Source organism: Homo sapiens, chromosome 3, assembly GCF_000001405.40.
Source record: "Homo sapiens chromosome 3, GRCh38.p14 Primary Assembly".
In the NCBI taxonomy this organism is placed as follows: Eukaryota; Metazoa; Chordata; class Mammalia; order Primates; family Hominidae; genus Homo; species Homo sapiens.
Genome location: NC_000003.12, coordinates 192,016,515 through 192,041,155, shown reverse-complemented (window position 1 = coordinate 192,041,155; position 24,641 = coordinate 192,016,515). Strand labels below are relative to the sequence as shown.

Sequence of the window (24,641 nt, the reverse complement as noted above, 5' to 3'; positions counted from 1 at the left end):
TACATTCCAAGAACAAGAAGTCTCCAGCACTCATTTATTTTCATTTATGTTCTGTAACTTAATTCTAAAAACCACATTGTCATCTCTACATCCTAGAGAAATAAAATGAAAGTCATATATACTCTAGAGAAAAAAATAAACTGGCTTATGGACAAACAGCAACAACAACAACGACAAATAAGAAAAATAACAAAATAATGTCCATGGGAAGGCTTTATACTTCCTCTTTCTAGGTGTATTTGAGAGAGATTATACGTGATTGACATTACCATGCGTTTTGTGTTTCAGCCATAGCGCCATTCAGAGAGCAGCTGCCACTCACAAGCTGGTAGCCTCCCAGACTACAAAGTGAGGAGGATAAAAGAAATACTATTTTAACTGAGGCAGGATGCAGAGGGAATTCATGCCAATGTATAAGATTTAGTGCATACAGAGGAACCCAGGGACAGACAGGATACTGGCATGCCTGAAACTCCTGTATCCTTATCTAAAAAAATAGTGGACAGTGTGTTGTATGCATAGCACATTAAGGTTACCTAGGAATTTTCATTGTTTATTTGCAGTAGACAGTAGACATATTTCCTAACAAATACGTTCTGTAGTGCTGAGCTCCATACATACTTTGCAGCAATTTTACATATCTTTTATTGTGGGTATTCCATATTCAATGGAGTGCTCAGAAAGAGAAATTTAATACTTAGAAATCATTTCTAAAATGCACAGAGTATGACACATCAGTTAAATTCAATTTTAGAAGAACAACAGGAAATAAATATGTAATTTAACTGCATATTTGCATATTTATTTACATTTAAAACATTAGGTTACATCTTCTGGCTTTCATTTTACTCCACCCCACCTCACTACTCTCTCCCTCTCCTTTCCTCTTTCTCTGTCTCTCAGCCATGTATCCTCCAATACCAAAATCTCACAGGAGGTAAGGTGATCAAGTTGACCAGTGAGAAAATTCCAGAGAAGGTGTGCTGTAATTCAAATAGATATTAGGGGGCTGCTTAATCATCTTTTTCACTGCCTAACTTAGCCTTAATAAGTGATTTAGGTGTCAAAGGAAATTTACAGTTGTAACATAATACATTTTTATCCATTTTTATGTTGGTAATAAACATCAAATAAAAATAAATTTTAAAAATATTTTCTTAATTTCTCAATCTTTACTCCTCTAGAACTCTTTATTCATCTTGAAATTTCTGCTGCATGTATTGCTTGGCCAATATTTTATAAAGATTAGCATTTAAAACAGCATGTATGACATAATCTCAACTGCCTCAGCAGCACACTGGCACTGTGACATCTTAGTGTTGACGAAGCGTCTTTCTCCTAACAGGGCACAGCTTTACCTGCCGTGAGGGTTCTGGGCTTGGTGGTTTTCCTTTGACTCAGCAATATTCAAGGACTAGTTACCTACCACTGAAAAAGAAACACCCAGTCCACTCTCTCCAGTGCTCTTCTGTCTTGAAAAGGGCCTTTCGCCCGTGATCCCTGGTAACTAGTTGTTTACACAATAGTGGGCCTATTTAGTGAACACATCTATCATCAAAGATGAAAAAACCAGCATTAAAATGACTAGTAGAGTTGAAGACTAGTGGCTGAGATGAGCAGAGCTAGCAGAAGAGAGGTCCTAGTGTAAAAAGAAATTTAATTTTAAAGTGTGTCTTTAAATACATATGACAGCTTGACCCAATTATTGTACAAACCAAGAAAACAAATAATTGTATACATGTTTGTGAGGCAAAGTGACGGGAAATGTATTTCTTTTTCTTTTTGGTATGAAATATTTGTAAAAAATAATTGAAACATCACTGACTATTTTCAGATCAGTCTTGCTTTATTTCCATGTTTGAACTGGAAACCAAGACATCCGAGCTTGCTTTTCAGCTCTGTAATTAAATAGCTGTATGACCTTGGGCCTGTCATTCTGTCTTTTGAGCTCTTAGATTCCTAATCTATAAAACAAAGGATTGGATAAAATGGTTTCAAAAACCCCTCCAGGTCTAAAATCATTTTATGTTGTGGAATAGTAAGTTGTTCAATTGTCTAGGGCCCTAGCAAAATAAAATCTTATTTTTAAAGTATTTTCTTTTTCAAACTAATTAAAAAGAGGCAGTTTATTTAATGGCCTAAATCAGTGCTTTAAAAGCATTCATGTTCAGTTGAATCATCTGAGATTTGATGATGATGCAGATTGTGATTCAGCGAGTCTGGGGTGGGGCCTGAGAGCCTACATTTCTTTCAAGTTCCCAGGAGATGCTGACGCTGCAGGTGTAAGTAACACATTTTGATTAGCAAGGACCTAACTAACTGTGGGGATTCCCGCAGAGATATGGCCACACAGGTAGTTTCTGTGGAACATGCAGACATGATTATGATCACCCAATCAATGTTTTATTTTAAAGATAAAATTTAAATGTTTTTCTCCAGCTAACATCAAACAAAACTAAACCTTCAGAATATTTTTAATTAACTTTTTCAATACTTTATTTGCATTTAAAATTAAATAAATTTAGTTGTGCTACTTTTATACAATTTAGTGATTTTTTTTTTAATTGACTGTTTTGGTCTCCTGTCAGTAAAAATACGATGCTTTGTCTCAACTTGCATCTTCTCTCACCCCACAAAAGGACCTCAGGATGCTAAGTTCACTCTTTAGAAAGTCATCATAATGATGCAGCTGGGAATAATCACTGTATTAAAAAAAAACCTGTACATACAGGTGCTATGGGATTTATTTTCAAGTTCCATTAACATTTCTCCTTCCACTCAGTCTAATTTATGTCAGGTACTGAACCTATGAATCTCATATTAATTTTGACAGCTGGTCTCTGCCTCAAAGCCAAAGAGCTGGAAGATGTTTTATTCACTCCATTCCCTTGCCCCCCTACCTCCACCCTGCCCACACACTAGCTTCACTCTGCTATAATCAAAGTCAAAATGTAAAGACAACATGTTGTTAAGTCAGTTAATTAACATATTGCTTCTGGGATGAGTTTTTTTGTTTTCCATTTGGTAATTATGCTCTATTCTTGAAGATAAAAATCTCTTCTGCACACTAACAACTAACATGACAGAACCTTTCTTGTAATTACCGCAGTGATTCTAACTATGTTAAGTACTTCCTAGACTCAGGCTCTTGTCAGTAGGGATCTGGGTCCCTACAAATACTAAGTCTCGTTTAGTCCACCAAATAGATTCTCTTTCTAATGAAGAGCTGAGAGTTTATGCCAATTTAAGTTCTAGAATATTGTATTATCATTGTTGTTGTTGTTATTCTGATGGTGGAATAGATCCCAGAGGCTCTAATGGAGCTGGAGAGGGGAGCTGGGCTCTTGTACTAGAGAGAAGTTGTGAAACAAAAGAATCAGCTAAGAAACTTTTCTGAAATGCAGTTCTCAATTGTTATTTATTCTGTGTCAAGATATTCATGGCCTGCATTACGATGCATTAGGTCTGAGTAAGTTCTCCAAAACTCAGAATTTAACAAATATCATATGTGATTCTAATGCAGGTGTGCATGGATCATATTTTGATAATAATTTCACTTGTACCTTCAGTCTTGAAACATTGAATATGAAAACCAACATCTGAAAATATGGGTGTTTAGAGTAATAGAGATTCTTAGTTATGCAGACTACTGCAACTTATAGTCAAACTTCAAATATAAATAAATTTAATACAAGTCTGTGTTTATCATGTAGCTGGACGCATGCCTATCATTCCTTTAAAAGATGAGAATGACGCCAGCATTTTGTGTTGAGTTGAATTATTGAATGCAAAGCATAGAAAGACCCGTAAGTAAATGTTTTTGAAATTGAAGCTGTCACCTGTATTCAAAATAGATTTTTGACTCAATTTATTCTAGATACTTAAAGATCATCCTTCAGATATTGCCTACACACTCACACACACAGAGAGAAAGAGAAAGAGAGAGAGAGAGACTCTATATACCCAGTATAAGAATGTACCACAGGTATATTAAAATGACCTATTTTTTTCATCTACATTAGAATTAAAATTACTCAGAGGGAAAACATTGAGTACCTTACACAGACCAGAAAATTTGTTGGTGACTTTATGATAATTTATGAACTAGGAAAGGTAGACCGGGTACTTTTACTAGTGTCACAAATTGCAGAATATAAATTGAAAAAAACAAACAACCAAAAAGCATTTTTTGTTTTGGTAAAAAGCTTGAAACAGCTAAACTAGTTTCACCTCTTCATTGTAGACATTAGGGAAATAAGGTGTATTGATAAGTGACTTGCTAGCTGATGGAGAGCCAGAACCAGAGTTAAGCCTCTGAATTCCAGTCCATGGTTTCCTACTTCAGTGTACAATTGGTGTCTCTTGTTGTTGAACAGTAAATACATCATAGAACTATATTTGTTTCAGTGCGCATTTCTTAAATGTAACTAAAAGTTTCTAAATGTTCCTAAAAGTGCTTGGAAAGAAATGGTATAAAATGTATGGGTATTATAAACACCAAGTTCATAATGATTATTCTGATTGGGAAGGACAGTGAAATAGGCATGTGAAATGACAAGGTTGTGCGTGGCCTTCAACTCTGTTAGGAATATTTTATTTATTTATTTATTTTATTATACTTTAAGTTTTAGGGTACACGTGCACAACGTGCAGGTTAGTTACATATGTATACATGTGCCATATTGGTGTGCTGCACCCAGTAACTCGTCATTTAACATTAGGTATAGGGACATGGATCAAGCTGGAAACCATCATTCTCAGCAAACTATTGCAAGGAATATTTTATTTCTTAACAGGGGTTCCTGTGCATTTTCTAAAAAATACTGTAAGTAGTTTCTAAATAGATTTTTAAAAAGACATAGTGTTCTCTGAATCTAAAATTGGTGTGGATTTTGATCTGTACAGTTAATGGGTCAAGACTTATTGTGATTACTTTTAGACATAGTTGCTCTCCCTCCTTCCTCAATATGCATTTGCATATTGTGTAAAAGATGTCATGTACTTCCAATTATAAAAACACACACAGACTGGGCACTGTGGCTCACATCTGTAATCCCAACACTTTGGTAAGCTGAGGCAGGAAGATCACTTGAGGCCAGGAGTTGATACCACGTGGGCAACATAGCAAGACTCTGATTCTACAAAAAATAAAAGTAAATAAAATAAAATAAAATAGATAAAAATACATACCATAATATTACCCTGTAAACTTCTCTCCTATGCCATATTTCTACCAGGGATTTATAATAATTGGAATACTATTTTCACCAACCACATGTAAATTTACTCTACCATTCCAAACAGGGTTATTTACCCCAAAATATTATAGGGTAAACCATCTCTCTTCTTAAAGAGATGACAGCAGGAAATAATATGACAATTTAAATAACAATGATGAGATTATATACTAATGTATTAAATGAAGGTGCTATTAAATTTTTAAGCAAAAGAGTAGAAAATATAACAATATTGTAGTTGTTATTTTAAATCCAAGGGATAATAAAATATAAATTATTCTTTTTATTATTTTTAAATAAAATTTTATTCAACACACAAAAAATTATGAAATCAAGTACAACTGATTATTGTCCCAGTTTTGAGGAAGAAAAGAATTACATCACAGCAAAGGAAGTTCTCTATCTTCTTGGGCATTAGGGGTAGTGCCACCAATTGAAATTGGTGCCAAAATTATTTTCTGGCTATTGTAAGAATTTTAAATAAGGCCTTTTCATTGAAAATCATTCCTTCCTTCAATTATCCTATATATAAAATAAATTATGTAAAAAATCTATTTATAGATTCTGAAGTCTCAAAAGAAATTCAGAAGATATTGCATATAACCTTCATTCTGCTTCTCTTTCAGCCACCATTTCTTCTTGAATCTCTCTGGGGATGAGGATGCCTACGATGTTCTGATGCAGTGTATTCTATTATTGGGTAATGATAACTTAAAATGTTCTTCTTATATTGAGTTGAAATACTCCTCTTGTAATTTGCTCCTAGAGGTGTAATTCTGAATCGTGATAACATTAAAAAAAATCCTACCACCTTTCTTTTAAAGACTTTCCTTTTGTAGGATAAACAAAATAGTATGAGCTCCTTCCAATATTCTAATTCAATTAAATATTGGCTGAAATCATCCGCCGTTCTCTTGAAGGTGCTCCATCTGTGTTTCTAAAGTAACATGTCTAACTTGAGAGTTAAACTTATGCCCGGTCACATGAATTTTAACAAGGTTTTGTATTTCAAGCAATAAAATGGTAAATAGATAAGTCAACCTAGGATGCAAGACTCTAATCCCTCCTGCTGCTCCGTGCATCTCTGCTTGGCCTGTGCATGGAGAAGACTGTCCAGGTCTTCTTGCTTTTTGCTACTCTAACCAGATGATATGTGAGTTTTCAGTCCCATATGTAACCCCAGACCAGATCTGGTGAGTAAATGCCTGGCCTCATAGTGCTTAGGTTCATATGAGCAAATATTACCACCAACAAAAACAATAGAAATACCTGCAAATTGTTGCCAACTATGATTTAATTAAAACTTCTATTTGGGTATTTTACAGAATGTAAAACACATCACAAAATATTTTTGTAAACTTTCTATTTTGATATAATTGTAGATTTATATGTAGTTGTAATAAATAATATAGGGAGCACCTGTATACCCTTTAACTAGTTTCCACCGATGGTGATATCTTATATTACTATAGTACAATATCATAACCGGAGAATTCTCATAGAATCCATTCATCTTATTCAGATATCACTAGTTTAATTATGTGCTTGCATGTATTACCACAGTCAAAAAACAGAATACTTCCATCAGGAGGATCCCTTATGCTACTCTTTTATAGCTGCAGCCAATTCAATTCTTCCTACCACTCCTGAGCCTGGCAACTACTAACCTATTCTCCATTTCTGTAATGTCATTTCAATAATACTATATGACTAGAACCCTACAGTGTGTGTAATCTCTTGAGACTTTTTTCCCATTCATCATAAAGACCCATCCAGGTTGTTCTATGTGCCAATAGTTCTTTGTTTTTTTGTTTCCCTTTTTATTGCTGAGTAATATTCTATAGTGTGGATGTATCACACTTTGTTTAACCGTTCATCCATTGGAGGACATCTGGGTTTAGTGTTGGGCTGTAATGCACTTTTTTGTACAGGTTTTTGTGTGAATATCAATTTTCATTTCTTCAGGTTAAATGACTAAGAATGCAATCGCCAGGCCATATGACAAGTGCTTGTTTAGTTTTTAAGAACCTGCCAAACTATTTTCCAGAGTGGCTATACTGTTTGACATTCCCATCAGCAATACACATCTGATGCGGCATGTAAAGCTGTCTTCGATTCCAAGAACTCATTCCAAGAGCGTTTGACTATTAGCTTTGGTTATTATTGGCTTGTTATTCCAACCATCTCACTATTGGAATTAAAGTACCCTTCTAGGATTTTTTTTTTGCTCGTTACATCCGTGGAATGGATAGTGTGTTGTGCTGTCTAGACCCACTTCAGGGGTCAGGCTGAAACTATTGTCTACTAACAGCTCACAAATACAATAACTCTTTCTACGATTTGCTCTGGACTGAAGAGAGCTGCCTCACTGAAGATAATACCCCACCCCTTGTTGCAACCTGTTAAAAACTGCTTGCTGTGGGAGTACAATGACTTGGCCCTCCAGACTTACTCTGGGCTGGCTCAGCTCCAGAGCATTCCATGGGATCATCTGAGTTCTCTGTTACAACTTCATCACAGTTCAATTCCTCCCTATGCTCAGTTCAGCTTTCCTCACTTCTGGGAGTTGATCTTTAGCACACACCCTCAAAAGTTCTGCTGCATGTAAATTCATCTCCTTTTCTAAGGAACCCAACCAATGACAGTTGATATTAGGGTACCAGGGGTAGTACAAAGACAGATACTAAAGTGGAATTTGAGAGTTGCATCACCTACAAGTTGGTAGGAGGAGGAATGATAACCCTGGCAAGATATAGCAGTACAGTTGTCCAATGTTTCAGTGATAGAGGACTGCGGAAGTATATTATTGGATGAAAAAGCTCTTCCGGTACAATATATCAGGTAATTGAGAGGTACAGGGAAGTAGTCAATAAAAGGATTATGGGATTGGTTGGCTGTTGCTGGGAGCTATTGATGCATTGGAGAAAGATAATGGAAGGCTAAATGTGATTAATCATTAAGAAGTTAAAAATCATAGGGTGCCCATGCCACTTTATAAACTTATTTAATCAGAATAGATGAGCAAGATTTGGCAAAAAGTTTAGAGGTCTGGAAAAATACATGGACAACAGATGATAAGACATAAAACCTATAAAGATTCAGATATCTGCCACATGAGAGGAACTACTGAGTGTTCAGAGGTTCAGAGCAGCAGTTGGCAAACTGTTTCTGCAAGTGGTCAGACCCAATAGTTAAGATTTAAGGCTTTGCAGGCCAGACACTATCACAACTACTCAGCTTTGCCGTTGAAGCACAAATATAGCCATACACAATTTGCAAATGAATGGGCTGTATGAAAATACAACTTTACTCACAATAAACAGGCAGTGGGCTAAATTTGGCCTGTGACAAGTAGTTTGTTGACCCTTGGTTTTGAGGGCAAAGTAAGGGACAAATTAATCCGTTTGAAAAGTTCCACCACTAGGAAGGAAGCACAACCTCTTATAGGCCTCTTTTGGGTGAAGTTAGCATATTCCATACTTGGGAATACTGCTGTGGTCTATTTACCTTGTGAAATGGAAGGCTGTCATTTTTGAGTGAGGTTTACAGTAGGAAAAGGCTCTGTAGAAGTTCAGACTATAGTGTAAGCTCTCCCAGCAGCACAAGACGTATCTATGGTGAAAAAAACATGTCAAATGATCTTTAGAACATGCTCCAATAAGAAAATCAAAGCTAACCCAGCTAGTTAGTGGTGGAGTTGAGGTTTATGTATAGATTTGCCTGGACTGTGAGAACAGACACTTAATATTTCCTATATTCCTTAAAACAACAAGCATAGGCTTGCACAGCGTAGGAATCAAGTAAATATATATTCGACTGTGCCAATAGTTTTGTGGTTTAGGCAACTAGGGAGTATTTGTTAAGAATTGAATCCTCTTTGTGCCTGACACACATTGGCAAAAAAGAACTTTTTGTTAAACACATTTAAAGAAAGACTCAGGTGATTTTTTTTTTAATTTGGAAATACACAGCTTCAGGATTAAAAGGATTCTAGTTTATGGGAAGAAGCTTCATTGGGAGTCACAGTTAACTTTAGGTTCAGAAATTATTAGTAAGAGTTTTCTTTTTACAGAGTCCACAGATGCATGGAGGTCTAACAACATATTCCTTGCCACAAGCAAAGAACTGATTCTTTGTTTTTCTCCTTCCTTATTAACAGAAGGATTATGCTGTGTTTTTAGTCTGGTTTATAAAAAGAAAGCCATAAGGCTTTGCTCCCAAGTAAGATCACATTTGTAAGAAGATCCTTATTAATATTTGGAGAGTGTTAAATATTCCTTAATGAGAAGCAAGACTGGGCAGACTTATTAAGATAGCTGCTGCTTCCAAGCCCAGAGTACAGATCGAGAGGCAGAGCAAACTCTTGTTTCTGTTCCTTCTGGGATACCAGGAGTGTTCTAGCTGCCACTGGGGTAGAATTTGTATCAGAGTGGTCACAGAGCCTGCTGAATGAAGCTGAAGGAGGAAAAGATGTGTATTGATAATGCAAATATAACAGGAATAGCTCTTTTTAAGGCAGATATGTCTGCGGGCAGCAGATGACAGTCAAATTTTATTACATTCAGAGTTTATATAACACATGGGTTGTAACCTTTGGCCTTGGGTTCCTGGGTGGAAAAAGATGAGACAGTTAATATCTGTTGAGAGCATATTGTGTGCCAGGCACTGTGACCATAAACGTAATTATCATGCTTTATTTGCTGGTTGAGAAAACATAATTATCGTGCTTTATTTACTGGTTAAGAAAAAAAAAATTAAAGGCAATACTTTCCTCCTTTTAATACCAGCTAGTTAATTTAGTTTATTCATTCCCTTCTCTTCACTACTAGCAGGAGGTCAGTTATAGGTCACAAGTGTATGACAGTATTTTCCAGGTTTCTCTTAATAGATCAGATTTTATCTCATGTTCCCTGTGATTGTAATAAAATTTGACAATGTACTGAATATTTTATATTTGGACTAAAAATTGCATTGCCTGGATTTTCTCTTGCTGTTGGAAATGTCAAAAAATTCAGAAACTTGCTCATGTACTTTTGGATGGAATGCATTGTAGGAAGACACTGAAAAGTTTGCTGGAGTGTCTGATTAGTCCTTATTTCCAGTGGTCCATATAGTTCTAATTCAATGTGGGCCAATGTGGTCTTTAATTATGGGCCACACAGTTTCTGTACAAAGTAGCACTCAGTTTTTTCATTAAAATTTTTTTTAAATTTTAATTGTAGTGAAATATTAAGTATTTTAAATATAACAGTAAAGCTTTGAAGGCATTAATTTAATGAACAGGAGAGTACTTGGAACTATACACATCTACTGAGTCATGGCAAGGCCCATGGTAAAACAAATGGAGAGGTCAATCTAAAACTAGAGAGCAGCCGAGCTGAGGGTTCAGTGTGCATAACCTGTGCCACTAGTCTGGGTAACAGTGGGGTAGCATGGCGCCTGAAAACAGGCCAAGGCTCAGGGTCACTTCTCCAGAGGTATGTAAAGTAGAAAGAGTACCTTTTTTTTTTTTTTTTTTGAGACAGAGTCTCACTCTGTCGCCCAGGCTGGAGTGCAGTGGCGTGATCTCCGCTCACTGCAAACTCCGCCTCCTGGATTCCTGCCATTCTCCTGCCTCAGCCTCCCGAGTAGCTGGAACTACAGGTGCACGCCACCATGCCTGGCTAATTTTTTGTGTTTTTAGTAGAGACGGGGTTTCACCGTGTTAGCCAGGATGGTCTCGATCTCCTGACCTCGTGATCCGCCTGTCTTGGCCTCCCAAAGTGCTAGGATTACAGGCGTGAGCCACCGCGCCCGGCCAGAAGAGTACCTTTTTTAACAATAAGTAAAGGTGAATATATTAAAGATTCAGATTAAATAAATATACACTCAAGTCATACCTTGTTGTAGTATTATGCCTGGTGTTGGTCTGGACACACACACACACATATGCACACACACATGCACTCTCTCTCTCTCAATATATCCTCATATCAGCAAAGTGAAATGGACAGAGGTGATCCAACTTCATACCTCCTTGGAGATTGCTGAGGCTTCTTTCTGTATAAATATCAATTAGATAAAGTTGATTAATAGTGTTGTTCATTTCAATTATATCCTTGCAGATTGGCCTGATGATGGATTAATCAATTACTGGTAGAGATGTGTTGAAGTCTCCACCTATAACAGTGGATTTGTCTATTTCTCCTTGCAGTTCAATTAGTTTTTGTCTCACATATTATGATGCCCTGTTGTTGATACATACATATTAAGGGTTGTTATGTCTTCTTCAAGATTTGACACATTTATCTCTATGCAATGCCCCGCTTTATCCCTGAGAATATTTCTTTCTCTGAGGTCATCTTTGTCTGAAATAAATATATCTATTCCAGCTTTCTTTTTATTAGTGTTAGCATGGTATATGTTATGTATTTACTTTTGAGCTATCTGTGTTTTTATATGTAAGGTGGGTTTCTTGTAGACAATATATAGTTGGGCCTGCTTCTTAATACACTCTGATGATCTCGTTCTTTTAATTGGTATATTTAGACAATATACATATAAAGTCATTATTGGTTTAGTTGGATTGATAGTTGCCATGTTTATTACAATGGTTTTCTATTTTCTGCATTTTTTGTGTGTGTGACTAAAATCTTCCCCTCTTTTGCCTGTTGTGACTTTGAGCATTTTACAAAGTTCTATTTTCTCTCCTGTTTTAGCATATCAATTATAATGCCTTAACAGAGCTTTTAATGGTTGCTATTGGCTTTGAAATATACATTTTCAGCTAATCCACTTTCAAATAACACTACATTCCTTCATGGGTAGCACAGGGACCTTCTAACAAAGTCCATGTGCTACCCAATTCTTCCCTTCTATGTTCCCTTATAACATGGCTGTCATTTATTTCACTTATCCAAATGCCATAAACATCCAATATACTGTTAATTTTCATACTCTGAATATGTATTTATTAGACCAATTAAAAATCAGAAAAATAAAATCTAAATTAACACAATTAGATTTAAAAATTACATTTTGAGCATTTCCTCTTGTAGAAAAATTGTTATGTTTAAATGCTGTGTCAGTATTGGGAAACCTTCTCCCTGAAGAACTTCCTTTAACATTTCTTGCAAGGCAGGTCTATGGGCAACAATTTTCTACAATTTTTGTTTTTCTTAGTCTTTATCTCCCTTACTTTTGAAGGACAATTTCATCATATGTATAATTCTTGATTTTTTTTCTATCAACACTTTAAATGTTTCATTGCAGTGTCTTCTTTTTTACATGGTTTCCAACAAGAAGTCTACTGTAATTTGTACCTTTTTTCCTCTATAAATAAGGCTTTTTATTTCACTCTGCTTCTTTCAAGAATTTTCTCTTTGTTTTTGTTTTTCTCAATTATGATATCGTATGCCTAAGTGTATATCTATATATATATATATATTTTGTATTTATCCTGCTTGTTGCTCATTGAGCTTCCTGAATCTGTGGTTTGGTGTTTATCATTAATTTTGGAAATCCTCAGTCATTATTGTTTCACATATTTATTCCACACCATTCTCTGTCTTACCCTTCTGGTATTCCAATTATGTATGTCTTATGCCTTTTGAAATTGTCCCACAATTCTTGGATATTCTCTTTTGTTTTCTTTTTTTCTTTCTTTATTTTTCTCTTTGCATTTCAACTTGGAAATTTTTTATTGACATATCTTCAGTCTCACTGACCCTTTTCTTGGTTGTTTCTGGTCTACTGATGAGCTCATCAAAGACATTCTTCATTTATGTTAATCCTTAAATTTATATTTTTTGGTTTTTTTTTTGACATTTCCACCTCTCTGCTTACATTACCCATCTCCTCTTGGGTGTTGTTTACTTTTTCTATTAGAACCCTTCACTTATTAATTATAATTATTTTAAATTACCTAGCTGATAAATCCAATATCCATACCATATTTGAAGATGGTTCTGATACTTGGTTTATCTCTGCAGATAATGTGCTTTTTTTCTTCTTATAGAATGGTTTATACTTTTTGTTAAAAGTTAGGCATGATGTATGATGTAGTAGAAGATGTAAATAGTTCTACAGTGTGAGATTATATGTTTACCTGGCTAGGAGCTGGCCCGTGTTTAATGTTTGCTGTAGCAGTACGTGCCAAAAGTTTCCATTTTCCCTACTGTTCTTGTTTTGTCTGTCCTTTTTGGGGGTTTGTGGGGGTTCCCTAAAAGCTCTTTCCTAAATGGAGTCTGTGTCTTGAAGCTCTTTCAGTCATAATCCACTATTATTATATTGGAAACCTGTTGATGTATTGTTAAATAATAAGGGAGTGAAAACATTCTATAATCTTTTGATTAAATCTCAGCCTTTTGGAGAGTCTTTGTCTCCGAACTATAATCTTCACAAGTGTTTCTTGGCTTTTTTTTCCCCTCCTTTAGATGAGACAGAAAGGCAAAGGGGGCTGGAGGTGACCCTACCTTAGGTCATTTAGCACCCCAGTAAAGTCTTTTCTACTGGAGAGCTAGTCTTCACTATGAAGAACACTTTATAAATACTTCAAAATGGTTAGTTTCCCTCTTGCCTGTCCAGACCTGTCAGTGGATTTTTCTTGGCTCATTTTGAGAATCTTGTAGGGTTCCTAGAGGTAAAACCCATGTAAATATGGGGGCTTCACTAATATTATGGCCACCAAGAGTTTCTCTCTCTCAAATTAGTCTGCATTCAGCCTCCAGGAATTCATAAAAGTTATCATTTAACCACTACTAGAAGTTCATGGGCCATTGGCTTTTGCTCCAGAAAAATAAATCTTGGCTGTATCTCTCTTGATGTGCCTGTGTCTTCAGATTTTGTGGTGATGCCCTTTGACCTCAATTCTCTAATATGTCCAAGAAATGTCATTGATTTTTAGTTTGTCTAGCTATTTCTTGTTATAAGGGTGGGAGAAAGGATTTCCAAACATTTTGTATGTCAGAGCTGAAACTAGAAGTCCAGAGTTATTTCTCTTGTTTAGAAATTAAACTCTAACCTTGTATCCCAGCTGCAGCCGTAGCTATGATACATGGTGGTATGTGTGTGAGGCACTGTGTTAGGAAACCTAATTCCAAAGCACAATATTATGAACTATCAGCGTGATCTGTGAATAAGTTACAAAACCTCTCTCTGAGCTTCAGTTTTTCTATCTCTGAATCTACTAATATTTGCCTAGATTGGTTGTTGCTTTAGATAAATCTTAGTAAAAGACCTTGTCTTTGGTTAAAAAAATAGAAACTCTGGAAAAGTATAAAATAATATTATCAAATATTTATTAACTCAGTGTTAAATTTGAAGTTCTGTGATAATTTTAATTTCTAAAAATTTAAATAAGCCATTCTTAGTAATTTATGTATCAAAGAATACTGGGCTCTGGAGTCCTAGATATCTAATAAGAAGATTATGGTATAAACCATGTTTTAAAATTGATGCTTGCAAGAGACATTCCCTTGCCATCTTCTGATTCTTACACATTTTGAATATAGGATAAAATATAGATAAGATTTAATATATAAAGGATAAATACATATAGGATAAAATGTATTCAGGTGTTCAGGATATTTTCATCCTGAACAGAGGATAAAATATTGCTCAGGATTTACAAAAAGGCAATTTCTCCTTTTGTAACATTTTACATTTATAATTAATACAACATATATAGTAAGATAATTTTCTCTAGGTATTACATGCCATGTCAAAGTTAATTATTGTAATTTTAACTATGGACTACTTTTAATCACTTAATGTTAATTATTCATTTTTAGTCTTTTTGCCAACTGTTTTTCTGTCTATCAAAAAGAAGATAACTCAGAATTTCTTTAATGGTGTTCTGTTCTCACCTTTTAGAAAGATTCTTATCATGGCATCAGCTGTGATTCTAAATGCACTAAGGAAATGTGAATGATTTTCAAAATTCTTAGAAAAAAGGTTTATAACACATCAAATGAAAAACAGTACATTTTTTGTCTTCATAAATACAAGCTCCACAACTTGTATACAATTTATCCAATGTTATTTAGGACAAATGACTTGCCTTCCTCTAATGATATAAAAGAAAATAAAACCAAATTCCTAATTTGAAGAGGAGTGCACCTAATATAGAGAAATATGTATGATGTAATCATATATTGTGATATGTTCTGTTCTCGCTCTCTCTCTCTCTCTCTCTCTCTCTCTCTCTATATATATATATATGAATGCTGTTTGAAAATAATTTACACAAAGAGGATTAAAGTGAGGTAAGGGAAGCTTCACAAGGGAGAAAATATGTCTTAAAGAACAATGTTCGTTGCAAAGATTGAGAAAATAAAGATGGTAACTTCAGGTACCATCAATACAACTGGTATTAGCTGGTGTGGAAGAAAAGTAGGGTAGTGGTAGGTAAAGCTGTAAAAATAGGCAGAGACCAAAAAATAAACAGCTTTATGTGCTGTATGGATAAATTCCATCATAGTATATCATCAAATGTTTAAAACAGGAGTTTAGGAAAAAGTGGTGAATATGGTTCAATACAGTTTTTAGAATTACTTTTCTTTAAGGGATTTATTTTTTTCTTCTAACCCAGTGGACTGTTGCCTTGTTTTATTTTTAAGGGTTTATTTATTTTTTTAAAAAAGAGGTAGAAGTTAATAATAAACAATGTCTATATTTTGAGATGTTTTAAAATAGGAAGGAAATACAAAAGAGGTTATGGAGTGTCTTTCCCTGAGAAATCCGAGACTAAGAGAATCTTCTCTGTTAGAGAATTTAAGGAAAGCTGACTAGAGATAGGTTAATGAATGTTGCTAGTGAATGACCTTACTGGGTCCTCCAACTAAATGTTTCAGTAATTCTGTGATTTTTAGAGTTGCAAACAAGCTTTGCCAGTTCATGATAAAATTTGTAAAGCAGCTTATGGTTTGCAAGGATTAGTGGGGCTCTGTGTGTCCACGGATTAGCCTTTATGTTTAATGTGCTTGCCCTCACAGACAGAAATCACATTGCTCCTTCAGCTTCAATAGGCTATGCACTGTCAATTATTTTTCCAGTCCTGGCAATACTGAACTCTTTATTGTAGTCAAGGTCATACACATTGTTGCTAGCTGGCAAATGCAGAAAAAGGTGATTTTGTTTACCTTCCAAGAGATGATTAGGAGGAAGTTCATAAAGGCACAGAATCTCTGAATGGGAAATTTTCTTGGGGTTACTTAATTAGATCTTTAGTTGGATTCAGAATCTGTTCAGGGTCTCATCTGATCATATCTTTGAAAAGATGAGATAGCATCGAAATTTCTCATGGGGAATGCCTGAGGACAATCTTTGTGCTTGCTCAAATGTACTGAAGTGTTATTTCAGGTCACCCTTTGGAACAAGGGTTTAGATGCTCCCCAAAAAGGAAAACAGAAAACAAAAGGGGGAAGAAATTCTAAAAGGAAAAAGCTACGGAGCAGAAAAACAAAAAATAAATAAAGATAATGCATGTTCAATTACTAACCCTCCAGGGCACTAATATCAAAGAGTGTCCTACACCTAACAGAGGTATGCATATTCATGGACTTAAAATGCATTCCAAAATCACCCAAATTTTTCCATAGATACCCTTGTGGAGGTTCCATATAGGCAGAGCTTTGATACCTAGTTCAGGTCTCCAACCACCTTTAAAAATCTGACAGAGAGGGAAAGGAGCCTTGTTACTCACACATTTAAAAGATTAGTATGTCTGTAAAGCAAAAATTTTAATCCACATTTATTAGGTAGCCCCAAATTTATTTTTCACATCTTACTGCTAACATGTATCTGTTTCATATACATAAAACTGTAGGTGTCAGATGAGTCAAAATAGCCATTCTTGGGAGGCTGTAGTGTGAAATGTTGTTGATTCCCAGGGAAGCACTGTCTGGTAATTAACCGTAATTGTTGGTATAGCAATCTCTCCCTATCCATGTTAAAATGGCTCATGAACTTCCCACAAGAATCTGTAATGATTTGTTTAACTTGTTGTCATTGATATCCTATTGCTCCAGCTCTTCCCCTGTTCATTTTATTCTTCAATCTGAAGAGGCTGTGGGGGCCTAAGACCCAAGTACCATTCAGCTGAATGCAAACTGTATAAATTCTAATTGTATAATATTGTGATATTTATTTTTATTTCCAACTGATAAATGGTTACAGATCATATTCCTAAGTTTTTATAGCTCTAAAATTTAAATACACTGTAAAGATTCTTAAAGACTTACAATACTCTGTATCCTTCAGCCTTTGTCATCCAGATTGGATCTTGTATGTAGCCCCTTTATATACATATCCTCCTAGAGATGTTGAATTTTGGATTTTAGGAAGATCTTGCTTTTCTTATTGATTTGAGTGAATGTTTGATAATCTAAATAGAATGTTTCTTAGTATTTTCAGTAATACATATTTTAAAACATTTATCTAGTTTACTTTTCTTTCTTGTTTTGAGGATTAAGACAAATGTTCTCTGTTATATTTCCACCTTGTTTTTTCTTATATTCCATTTGGATGGTTGAAATGCATGGCTTGACCCATATTCTGCTACAAAATGACCAGAATATTATCAGCAGAATTTTCATAAAAAAGAAAAATTTATGTAGTGAACCAATTGCAAAGCAAAATTTGAGTGCAGAATAGTGGTATACTTGAGCCTTTCTGTGCTATATAAAGGACTCTCCTAGCACTGATAATAAGAGAAGTTGTAAAGTCATTCACTACCTCTCACTATTAATAAATGCCCAGCAAGACAACAAGAATGAAAGTTGGCTGACTTGATTAAAAGGGACATTGATCTTTGGAGAGAGAGCTCAGACATGGAGATGGAATTCAGGGGTGTTGGTCTCTAGATTGTTTATTTTTTTCCCTGCTGTTTTGTCTTGGAAAGTCTGTGATGACTGGAAAAATTTCCAAATTTAAATCTGTAGAATTTGAATTCTGGGGATTCTGAAAAAAAATTAAGAAAAATTAGAATTAGGGAACTATGGAACTTCACTTTGTATAGCTTTTGAGTGCTTATAATTATTAAAAGCAAACAACTCCACTCTACCTTTCATGTGAAAAATGTGTGCCAGTAGTTTGAGAAAGTTTTATATAATTTGCCTGATAAGCTTACTTCTTTCCCTTAAATAACTTTTTCTATGACACTCTTTGGATATGAATTAGTTTGACCTCCACGGAACTCACTTCAGTTTGCAGAATTGTGTTTGGGGGATCTGTATGGAAGGATTTGTCAAGGTAACTGCAGAGGGAGGAGGAGGCTCTATTGCCAGAAGCTGATTCATTAATTTTCAGACAGATTCATGGTTTGTGAATCAACAGACGAGAATTCTCTTGGCTAGAAATGAGAGAGATTGCAATAGGTTCAGTGACAGACATCTGTTATGTCTGCCAGGGAGCTGTACAGTTCAGTCAGTCTTCAGTGATTTCATCCTTCTTATATTTCTAGAGTTGAATACAGATGTTATTTAAATTGAGTTGAACCAGAAGAGGTTTTTTTTAAACAATAATTGTGACCTTATCATTTTCTATCAGTAGTGCCATCTTACTAGTGTGGTACTGATATTCTAATAGTTAATGTATGTTGTATCTATATGACTACTTTCCTAGCTAAGTCAGTTAAATGTTAGTTATAAATGATAGCTATATCAGATGGATTGTTTGACTGTAAGAAAGAGAAACCTACCGGACCTAACTTAGACTAAAAGAATAATGTATTGGTAATATGGTAGGCAGCTTTTAAAGAATCAAACAAAAGAAAATGAGTCACCAATACTCAAAAAAAAAAAAAAGAAAAGAAAAGAAAAACAAAGTAGTTCTTTAAAACCGCTGATTGATCCAGCTTTGTCAGGTGGTCTTCTCCCCAGACTAGGAGGGGGTGCATTTGTTGATGTCACCACCAAGATCACACTCAATATTGCACAGGTAGTTTCCTAAATGAATATTGAGGTCCTTTTATCAAAAGAAAGAGGAATGGGTGCTGACAGTGTAAAACAACAGATACCCACTTACTAAACCTGTAACTGCAATTCTCAATGAATGTCTATGAAGAGAGTTTAGCATTAATCTCAAGCTTCACATTCATTCCTTCATTCATTCAAGAAATATGTGGACGCCTCGTTTTGCCAGGTCTTATCCGTGAAAAGACAGATATAGTCCCAACTCTCATCAGATATCTCTTATAGATATATCCTCTCTTTCTATTACCTCTCTGGCTTTATTGAGGTACAACTGAAAAATTAAAATTGTACATATTTAAGGTGTCCAACTGATATTTTTAGATACATATATATTCTGATATAAAGACCAAATCAAGCTAAGTAACATATCTATCACCTCACACAGTTACCATTTTCTTTCTTTCTTTTTCTAAAAAATCTTTTTGTGATAAGAATACTTAAGATCAACCTTCTTAGGAAATTCCAAGTACACAATACAGTATTGTTAACTGTAGGCACATTACTGTACATTAGATCTCCAGAAACTATTCATCCTGCATAACTAACAATTTGTATCTTTTGATCAATGTACCTCCATTTTCCCCTCCCCCTAGACTCTAGGGGTCTAGACCTCTATAATAATAGACCTCTGTAAGTCTATTTTAGAGTGGCTTATTTCACTTTTTGTAATGTCTTCTAGGTTTATACATGTTGTCACAAATGGCACAATTTCCTTTAATTTTAAAGTTGAATAGTATTCCATTGTTTATGTATGTGTGTGTATATAATCACATTTTCTTTATCCATTCATCTGTTAATGAACAATTAGGAATATATTGCTATTGTGAATAATGCTGAAATGAACACAGGAGTGCAGATATCTCTTTGAGATAATGATTTAATTTCCTTTGGGTTTATATTCAGAAGTGAGATTGCTGGATTATAAAGTAGTTATTATTTTTTTTTAAGAGACAGCATGTTGGTCTGTCATCCAGGCTGGAGTGCAGTAGTATGATCATAGCTCACTGTAAACTCAAATTCCTGGGCTCAAGCAATCTTCCTGCCTCAGCCTCTCAAAATGTTGAGATTACAGGCATGAGCCACCATGCCTACTAGTAGTTTTTTTAATTTTTATTTTTTTAGAAACCTCTTTATTGTTTTTCATAATGGCTATATCAATTTACATTTCCATCATCAGTGTACAAGGATTTCCTTTTCTCAACATTCTCACCTACACTCATCATTTTGATAATAGCTATTCTAACAGATGTGAAGTGATAGCTCATTGTGGTTTTAATTTGTATTTCCTTGATGATTAGTGATGTTGAATACTTTTTCATACATTTATTGGCCATTTATATGTCTTCTTTAAGAAGTGTCTGTTCAGGCCCTTTATCCATTTTTTAATCAGGTTGTTTTTTGTTGTTTTATTTTGTTTTTGCTATTGAGGTGCATACGTTCCTTATATATTTTGGATATTAACACCTTTTCTATGTTTGTCAATATTTTCTTTCATTCTGTAGGTTGCTTTTTTCACTGTACTGACTGTTTCCTTTGTCTGTGAAGAATCCTCTTAGTTAGAAGCAATCCTTTTTGTCTGTTTTTGCTTTCGTTGCCTGTGCTTTTTTTTGTCATATCCAAAAAAAATCATTGCCCAACCCAATGTCAAGAAACTTTTTCCCTATGTTTATCTAGTTTCCCCTAGGTTTATTTAACTTTTTCCCTAGTTTTGTGGATTCAGGTCTAGTGTCTAAGTCTCTAGCCTATTTTTAGTTGATTTTTTAATACAGTGTGGGATAATGGCCTAATTTATAAGATAGCAAATTCAACAGCACATTAAAAGCATTACATAAAAAAAAGCATTACATAAAATGACTGAGATTTATCTCTTATATGCAAAGATGCCTCAACATATGCAAATCAATCAACCACATTAACAGGATGAAAGAAAACAAAACACATGATTATCTCAATAGATGCAGAAAAACATTTCTCAAAACTCATTTTATTCAAAACATTCATTTATATGGAACTCTTAACAAAATAGGCATAAAAGGAACTTTTCCTCAACACAATAAAGTCCATATACTAAAATCCCACAGCTAACATCATAATATATAGGGGAAAATGTAAATATTTTCCTCTATGTCCTGGTAGAAGGCAAAGATACTCCCTTTTGCCACTTCCATCCAATATAGTACTGGATGTCCCACACAGAGCAATAAGACAAATAAATGAAATAAAAGGTATCCAAGTAAAGGAAAAGGAATGAAAGGAAGAAAGAAGTAAAACTATCGGCTTGCAAATGACATGCTCATATACTTAGAAAACCTTATAGACTCAACAACAACAAAAACAACAACAACAACAACAAACAGAACTAAAGAATGAATTCACTAAAGTTGCAGGACACAAAATCAAAATATCAAAATCAGTCATGTTTCTATATAAAAACAATAAAGTATCTAGGAGGAAATTACGACAATAATCCTACTCACAATAGCAGCAAAATGATAAAATATTTAGGAATAAACAGGGAAAGAGATGAAATTTATGTACTGAAAATGATAAAACATTGATTGTGTCTTCTATAATGGAATAGCTAGACAAAAATGGAAAGACATTCTGTGTTTATGGATTGGAAAGATTGATATTATTAAAATATTCATACTACCCTAATTGATTTACAGAATCAATGAAATTTCTATCAAAATCCCAATGGCATTCTTTATAGAAATATATATTAAAAAAACAATCTCATAGAACCACAAATTCTAAGTAACCAAAACAATCTTGAACAGAAAGAACAAAGCTTGAGGCCTCACATTTATTAATTTTAAGATATAGTAAAGAGCTATTGTAATCAAAACAGTATGGCACTGGCATTAAAAAAGATGTGTAGACCAATGGAACAGAAAAGAGAACCAAGAAATAAATCCACACATCTACAATCAACTTATCTTCCACAAAGTTGCCAAGAGCACAGAATGGACAAAAAGATGGTTTTTTCAGTATGGCATTGGGAAAACCAGATATTGGTGTGCAGAGATAGAGTGTCTCTTTACCAAATACTGTCACTGACTACCATCAAATAAAACATTATTAGGTGGAATCAACATAAAATGTTTCTGATGTCACCTTTATTTTCAATTAATTTTAATTAGTAGATAGTGGGTAGCCACAAAAGTAATGATATAAATACAACTGTCTTGAGGGAATATTAATCTGATGGTGGTCTGAAGAATAAACTCTTAGGGAGAGTGACAGAGGAGGCTAAAATGCCAAGTAATTAACAGGAGATTATCAACTGCTTTCATTCTGATAGAGTCCAGAGAAAATATCACAATAATAAGTTTAAAATATTAATACTTAGAGCTTAAGTGATTTATATGCATAAATTTATCCATTCCCATAATTATTTATATTTCCCATATTTATTCAACTGTACAAGGGAGGTAATAGATAAGGTAATTGAGGTAGAAAAAGATTTGCCTTAAATTTCTTATTTAGTGAATGGAGGAGGTAAGATCAATATAGATTAACCTACCAGCACTTTGATTCTTTAACATTCTGTAGCTATTTAACTATTGGTAGGTAGAGAGAAGTGAAAGGATATATTATGAAGAAAGCAGAGAGTAGGCAATAAATCTCATATTTTTGACTAGGACTAGCTATGGGGGATGACAGTTAGGTTTCCTTGTCTCAATTAAAGCTGGATATCAGCAGGGAATAATTCTTTCCTGAACCTTTGTGACACAAACAACTATTAATATAGCTTTTATCAATAAATTTAAAAAAATAAATTTATGAACATTAACCTAATTTTTAATAATAAAAAATCTATGATGGAAAATCAGATTAAGCAGCTCAGATCTTCTGTCACATCTACTGATTAATTCTCAGGAGGAAGTGTGCATATGAGTTTGAATTTTATTTCTTAATATTTGTTTTTGTGGGGAACTTTATGCAAACAATGGGATTCTCTGTACTGGTCCTTTTTGCATTTAAATGTCTCAATTTAAAAATTTCGTTTGATTTTGAATTAATAATAATTTTCCTTATTTGGAATCTTATTACAAATTTATTTATCACATTTCCTATTTCCATTTTCCATTTCCCAGCAAGCCACACTTATTTTTCAACAGGGTAGGCAATAATCTATTAAACCACATTTCCACCTCTGTAAATATCAAACACCTGTGGTTCCCTAAGTAAAGTTGACCTTTTTTGAAATTATTATTGACTGTGGCATCTAAGGAAGAAATATATAGGAAGAATAAATGAAACATTTATAAAACAGAATTTTTATACATTCATAAATAAATATTATAAATATAATTACTCTTTAGTTCATAATGCTGCAATGAAAATGACAATATCGTGTGTTCATCTGTTTTTCCAGTTTCTCCTCTGCAACAGGGAGAGAGTAAGAAATTGTGGATTTCATAGTAAGACAACAACAACAAAAACTCCACAACCACCAATCTTTTCCCACAGTGTTAATATTGATTGGCTACTTGCATAATCATTTTTTCTACCAACATAAAAAAATAACAAATTAATTTTTCCTATTCTATTGCAAAATATAAGAAAAAAAGTTGTGAGGGTTTTTTTTGTTTTGTTTTTGTTTTTTTTGGTATTTGCCAATCAATACAGAGAGGCAATATGCAAAGGAAAAAACCATTATCTTTGAGTGAAGATGGAAGAGACTTTATGTTGCAGGACAGAGATAATAGACTGAAAGGAAGGAAGGCTCAGTATTGAAGAAAGTGGGGCTATGGGATGGGAGAATGAAATGATCTTTGCTTATTTGATTTATAATATTAGGTTCAATGGCTGCACCTTTATGGTGCTACAAGTCTTTGCTTAGAATATATTTGTAAACAACGATGCCTTTGTTTCATTGAAGTCTCACACTGAAATCTTACTTGCTCTGGTTTGAATATGTCCCCTAAATTTAACGTGTTAGAAACTATTCCTTAATTCATGTGTTGATTGGAGATGAGGCTTTGGGAGGCAATTTGGATTAGATTAGATCATCAGGGTGGGGCCCCCATGATGGGACTTGTAGCTTTATAAGAAGAGGAAGAGGGACGTAAGCTGGCATGTCCTTGCCCTCTTGCCAAGTGATGCCCTCTGTCATGTTATGCCAGTACAAAAGCCCTTTCCAGAACCTGCTGCCATGCCCTGGGACTTCTCAGTCTTTGGAACTATGATACAAATAAATTTCTTTTCTTTATACACTACTCAGACTCAGTTACTCTGTCATAGCAATAGAAAGCAGATGAAAACACCACAAAACTCTTCTGACCTTGAGAAACCAAATATTATGAGAATTAAGCATGTTTTTATACACTAATGGAATCTGAAGCCAAGAATCTGAAACCACATTCATAGAAACTCAACAATTCTAAGTACCCTCCTACTGACTAAATGAAGGGAAAGGCATGGAACTACATTTGCAGGCTGTGTA

At 34.4% G+C, this 24,641-nt stretch overlaps 1 long non-coding RNA gene across 1 annotated transcript in view; it reads left to right on the top strand.

Annotated features, from left to right (window-relative positions):
* The first annotated feature begins 3,719 nt into the window (after window positions 1-3,719).
* LOC105374277 (uncharacterized) overlaps window positions 3,720-24,641 on the top strand; it is a 32,373-nt gene continuing 11,451 nt past the window's right edge. Inside the window, exons 1-2 of the long non-coding RNA XR_924827.2 lie at window positions 3,720-3,806; window positions 5,864-5,937. This is a non-coding gene — a long non-coding RNA (uncharacterized LOC105374277). The remainder of the gene's footprint in view (window positions 3,807-5,863; window positions 5,938-24,641) is intronic.